Source organism: Homo sapiens, chromosome 6 (genome assembly GCF_000001405.40).
Source record: "Homo sapiens chromosome 6, GRCh38.p14 Primary Assembly".
Classification (NCBI taxonomy): Eukaryota; Metazoa; Chordata; class Mammalia; order Primates; family Hominidae; genus Homo; species Homo sapiens.
Window position 1 is genome coordinate 153,855,410 of NC_000006.12, and position 6,665 is coordinate 153,862,074.

General features: G+C 44.2%; 1 annotated feature.

The window, feature by feature from the left end:
- Positions 5,480–5,980: an enhancer, noted in NCBI's record as "H3K4me1 hESC enhancer chr6:154182024-154182524 (GRCh37/hg19 assembly coordinates)". NCBI's record gives its function as "activates a minimal SCP1, AML or CMV promoter by ChIP-STARR-seq in primed H9 embryonic stem cells {active_cell/tissue: H9 hESC(primed)}" and the evidence as "EXISTENCE:reporter gene assay evidence [ECO:0000049][PMID:30033119]".

Consider the following 6,665-nt stretch of genomic DNA (forward strand, 5'->3'; position numbering starts at 1 on the left):
AAAGTTATTAAAAATGAGTACCATTTATTGTGTTTATTTACTATGAATCAAATATTGTATTAGGAAGTATATATATATGTGTGTGTGTATATACTTATTTAATTCTCTGAACAATCACTTTTAGGCAGGAAAACAAAAGCCAGAGATGTTAAGTGACTCACTGAGGCTCATACAACCAGAAATTAAAATAAGTTGATTTGACTCACGAAACAGCTGTATCATATGGTCATCAAGATGCTGCTGTAGCCTGGCGCGGTGGCTCATGCCTGTAATCCCAGCACTGTGGGAGGCCGAGGCGGGCAGATCACGAGGTTAGGAGATAGAGACAATCCTGGCTAACACGGTGAAACCCCGTCTCTATTAAAAACACAAAAACTTAGCCAGGCGTCGTGGCAGGCGCCTGTGGTCCCAGCTATTCGGGAGACTGAGGCAGGAGAATGGCCTGAACCTCAGAGGCGGAGCTTGCAGTGAGCCAAGATCATGCCACTGCACTCCAGCCTGGGCGACAAAGTGAGACTCCATCTCGAAAAAAAAACAAAAAAAAAGCTGCTGTGTCAATTGGTGGGTTCTTGGTCTCGCTGACTTAAAGAATGAAGCGGCAGACCCTCGCGGTGAGTGTTACAGTTCTTAAAGATGGCGTTTCTGGAGTTTGTTCCTTCAGATGTTCAGATGTGTCTGGAGTTTCTTCCTTCTGGTGGGTTCGTGGTCTTGCTGACTTCAGGAATGAAGCTGCAGACCTTTGCGGTGAGTGCTACAGCTCTTAAAGGCAGCGTGTCTGGAGTTGTTAGTCCCTCCCAGTGGGTTCTTGGTCTCGCTGGCTTCAGCAATGAAGTTGCAGACCTTCGTGGTGAGTGTTACCGCTCATAAAGGTGGCGTGGCCCCAAAGGGTGAGCAACAGCAAGATTTATTACAAAGAGCAAAAGAACAAAGCTTCCACAGCGTGGAAAAGAACTCCAGCAGAGAGCCGCCGCTAGCTTGGGCAGCCTGCTTTTCTTCCCGTATCTGACCCCACCCGCATCCTGCTGATTGGTCCATTTTACAGAGAGCTGATTGGTCCATTTTACAGAGAACTGATTGGTTCGTTTTGACAGGGTGCTGATTGGTACGTTTACAAACCTTGAGCTAGACACAGAGTGCTGACTGCTGCATTTATAATCCTCTAGCTAGACATAAAAGTTCTCCAAGTCCCCACCAGATTAGCTAGATACAGAGTGCTGATTGGTGTATCCACAAACCCCGAGTTAGACACAGAGTGCTGATTGGTGCATTTACAATCCTCCAGCTAGACATAAAAGTTCTCCAAGTCCCCACTAGATTAGCTAGACACAGAGCACTGATTGATGTGTTTACAAACCTTGAGCTAGACACAGGGTGCTGATTGGTGCATTTACAATCCTTTAGCTAGACATAAAAGTTCTCCAAGACCCCACCCAACTCAGGAGCCTAGCTGGCTTCCCCTAGTGGATCCCATGCCAGGGCCGTGGGTGGAGCTGCCCGCCAGTCCCGTGCCACACGCATGCACTCCTCAGCCCTTGGGTGGTGGATGGGACCAGGCACCGTGGAGCAGGGGGCAGCGCCCATCGGGGAGGTTTGGGCCACTCGGGAGCCCATGGGGCAGGGGCGGGGGTGGTGGGGCTCCGGCTCGGCAGACTGCAGGTCCCAAGCCCTGCCCGTGGGGAGGCGGCTGAGGCCTGGTGAGAATTTGAGCACGGCGCAGGAGGGCTGGCAGTGCTGAGGGACCCGGCCTGCACTCTCTGCAGCTGCTGGCCCAGGCGCTAAGCCCCTCACTGCCCAGGGTGGCGGCGCCAGCCAGCTGCTCTGAGTGCGGGGCCCACAGAGCCCGTGCCCACTAGGAACTCGCGTTGGCCCCAGTTCCCGCCCGTGCCTCTCCCTCCACACCTCCCGGCAGGCAGAGGGAGCCAGCTCCAGCCTCGGCCAGCTCAGAGAGGGGCTCCCACAGTGCAGCGGCAGGCTGAAGGGCTCCTCAAGCATGGGTAGAGCAGACGCCAAGGCTGAGGAGGTGCCAAGAGCCAGCGAGGGCTGCTAGCACATTGTCACCTCTCACTGCCTTCAGAAAAGGAGCAGATGTGTGTTATTTGGCATACCAGGATAATTAAAATGTAACATGTTGCTAACCCATAGCAAGCCCAAAAAGCAATAAGCCTCATTTGGTTGTCTTTCTGAAAGAAACACTGTCTACATGACCTGTAAAATCTGGGCAATATAAATTTTTTTTAAATTTAAATGGTCAGCTGGTTTGAATTGGTCCAAATACCTGTCTTTAAAAAATATTTAGAGCAATTTTTTTTAACTCGAGGTTTTATAAGGGCAATGAAGCAATAGAATGAGAATGAGGCATGACATAAACTTTTCAATCTACTTAATATTTAATTAAAATATAATCATATACTATAAACCAAAATTAATATATATGAAACACTGGCATTAACTTCCACTTGAGAATTGGGAAAGTTATAGAATAACAAAGAAAAGAACGTGAAATGGTGCCCCTTTGATCACACTCAGCTAAGGATTTCCTCTATTCTAGGCAGTCACAACTGTGCTAAATGCTTGACATAAATTTATATACTTGTTCTTCACAATCATTCCAACATGTGTGTTATTATTACAACTGAGAGTTGAGTAGACTGCTTCTTAGAAAGGTAAATTGCTAATGTCAGATAGAAAATGAAAGAACCTGAATTTGACCTAAGTTGCATTGTTCACAGGCTATGACCTCTCCTCTCTGTGAGGCTGTAATCACATGTATTGTACTGATTGCTAGAAATGATAAAGGCCACCCCTCGAAATTAGAACACAGATAACCTGCTACCAAATCTGAAGGAGAAAGAAGGCAATTTATCATCTCAATGAATTTTAAAAAGCCTATAGTTAATCCTCTCTCAAGACATTTCTTTTCTCAGATATTCACCTACTAGCCAATGAGAAGGGTCTTTAAGCATGTGCCTGACAAAAACCCTTCAAAACATTCCATTTCATCAATTGCCTAAAAATAAGCTCTCTAAAACATTAATAAGATTGTACTGTTCTTGATTGTGCCAAAGCAAGAGATCCTTGTTAGAGGCAATGCTGAAACTGACCCAACAGTCCCATAGATAATTTTTTTGTTCACTTGTTTTTTAAATAAACATAGAAATTGACCTTTCTGGTCTTAAAGCTTGAAACTTGTATTCATTTTATCTGTGTTCCTTCCTCAGGAAAGGACCTTCAAGCTGCTCAAAAAGAAAGTATCAAAGAACTGAAACTCACCACATCACCACATACAGACAATGAGATGAGAGACCTCTCATTCACCCATCATGATTGCTTCATTGCCCCTTCCTAGTTCCTGTTTTCTTATACATTGTTACATTTCCTCCCACTATATAAAACCCCTACGTTTAGTCAGTTAGGGAGACGGATTTAGGACTCCCATCTCCTCGACTGCAGCACCCGACTAAAGCTGTCTTCCTTCTCTTCCTTCCTTCATTGGTAGTACTTGACGAGCAATTGGCTTTCTGTGAGGTGAGCAGCAGGACCGAGACCAACCCCCAGGTGTTTCGGTAACAATACCCAATGTCTCAATCTTCAATCATATTGTTATTACTGGGGTAAAGTTGGCAAGTTTGCCTCCTGACCTCGAAACTAACTGAGAATCAAGGCTTCCAGTTGCATGTGTTTTCCAGCTGGTCATAATGTGCTAGGCATCATTCTATAAATAATCTATATGATTCTCTTGTAAAGAAAAAAATGAGAAATTATATATAGTATACTACCTTATCTATGGTTTTTCTTTCCATAGTTTCAGTTACCCAGGGTCAGCAGGAATCTGGAAATATTACTTATGGCAGATATTTTCAGAAAGAGAGACCACACTCACATAACTTTTATTTTATTTATTTATTTATTTATTTATATTTATTTATATTTATTTATTTATTTATTTTTGAGATGAGGTCTCACTCTCATCCCCCAGGCTGGAGTGTGATGACGCCATCTCAGCTCACTGCAACCTCCGCCTCCCAAGTCAAGCAATTCTCCTGCCTCAGCCTCCTGAGTAGCTGGGATTACAGGCACCTGCCACCATGTCCCGCTAATTTTTGTATTTTTAGTGGAGACGGGGTTTCACCATGTTGGCCAGGCTGGTTTCAAACTCCTGACCTCAGGTGATCCACCTGCCTCGGCCTCCCAAAGTGCTGGGATTACAGGTGTGAGCCACCATGTCCAGCCACATAACTTTATTATAGCATATTGTTATAATTGTTCTACTATATTGTTATTGTTAACCTCTTACTGTGCCTAATTTATAATTAAACTTTATCCTAGAGATGTATGTATGAGAAAAAAACATAGTACATATAGGGCTTCAGCACCATCAGCAATTTTAGGCATCCACTGGGGGCTTAGAATGTATCCCCACCAATAAGGAGGAACTACTGTAATACCATTTTAAATCTTATTTTTTCCTGAACTATTGCCAGATAAACAATCTATATTTCCTAAGCACTGTTAGTACTTGACTACAATGTTAAATTATTTTCATATCTCTTTTCAATCTGTCTTCTCAGACTGGATAATTGATTAGTTTACTTGTATTTTCAATTAGGTAGTATAAGTTGCAGCTGAAAATGAGTGACTCCTTAGAGTTTTTAAGATATAGGCAGGCTTTCACATCTTTTTAAATTCTCTAAATAGTTCAATTAAACCCTTAAGCCTAAAAAATCCCGTAGTTTACAAAATTAAACTTTTTTTTTTCCTGTAGTCATTATGCTTGCTTGCAAATCAATATTTGCAAATCAAGTTTAGATTTAGTATGGGCGTGGTGGGGAATCCAAGGTAAGAATAAGCATTTTGGTGCCACAATGTTTAAAAAAAATTTTTTGAGTTTATTCAACTAGCATATTTTAAAAATACATGTTTGGCTTACAAATCCAAAGAAAATTATTAAAGCACTCTATAAATATGAGGCAAAGTAGGGTGGAAAAGTGGAGAATAAGGCACTAAGCTTTGCAATCCATACCTCTAATAAAGAGACATGATGGGAGAATATGATCTTACCACCCTGAAGCCTGTCTGTACAAATTTTAAGCAAGTTTTTCAATCTCCCTAAACCTCAGTTTTCTCATTTATACGGGGATGATGCTTCGAGCTTTGTCACCTCATATGGTTTATAATTCCAATAACTTCACTCATTTCCATGTCTTACTGAATGCATAATAAAGTTGAAAACATTTACTAGAAGTTGGTCTTATGTAAATAAATAACATGTTTTAGAATCCTTTTTCTGGATATACATTAAAAATGTAAGAACCAAAATTATTTTGTACTATATATTATTACTTAGGTTTAGTCTCATAAGAATTCTAAATATTTCAAAATATGGGTCATTATTTTGTTTCATTTCATGACACTCATATTTTTTCCTAAATCCCTTTGTTGTAGAGGAAGACATGAATTCACTTTCACTTCACTAAAGTCTAAAGCTAGAAATCCTTACGCCACTCCCAGCCTCCCAGATTCCCACAATCCTAGCCACAGAATTGCCACTCAACCCTCACCTCACGGGCCCTGAGACTAACATAGGGAGCTACCTGGACACTGAACAACAACACTGCTCTGGAAAAGGAGCTCATGCTTGATCCCATACACCCCTTAAGTCCTAAGCAGCTGCAGCAAAGTGCCATTTTGAGATCCTAGCCCTCTCCACCCTGCATTCTGCTAGAGGCTCAACAGACCCTGCACCTCCACATCCCCAGAGCTTCATTCACTTCCACAACACGCACCCACCACCACAGCTGGGTTGCCACCAGGGTCACAGTGGGAATCATTTGTAACAACCCCACTTCCCTCAGCAGCAGACCCACTACACATCTTCATGCGCCCCAAGAGCAGACTCTCCCACCTCCAGCGGCCACCGCTGTAGGCCACTGCTGCTGGAGCTAAAGTAAGAGCAGAGTGCTTGCTCTTCACCTGCTTGCCTTTGACTGTTGTCACTGAAAGTAACCCGCCCTCCCCTGTAACAGGGCTGCAGCATGGCCACAGCCATCCCCACCTGGGCATTCCACCAGAAGCCTAGGGATAGCTCCTCCCCTGCCTATTACAGCGAGTGCCTATACACACCACCTAGGGGGCCGAGGACACCTGGGGATTGCCCAGCCTGGCCCACTATCATTGGCACCTGGACATTTATCTTGAGGAACTGAGGTCAAGCCCAGCCAACCTGTCACTATCACCACAGCTGGCACCCCCCATATGCACCAACTGTGTGACTGGGGACTGGTGCAAAAGCTCATTGCAGCCACCACCAATACCAGCATAAACTGCTTGGGAGTCATAGTGTTGTCATGCCACTGCTACTGCCATTGCCTGTGCCACATCTACTGCTCACAAACCCAAAGACCCACTCACCCAACTGGCTCACTGGCACTACCATAACCCAGGAAAGCTGCCTGGAGACCCAAGAATTAGCCAACCTGGACTCACTAACACCAGTGCCATTATATGCCTCCTGTGGACCCAAGGATGACCATGCTCAGCCTGCTGCTGCCACTATTGAGGCCTGATGACTGGTCCACCTGGCATCTTCATTCCCATAAAAACTTCACCATGGCCGCTACTAACCATACCTTAAGCCACTGGGGAAATCAATGATTCCACTGTCACTG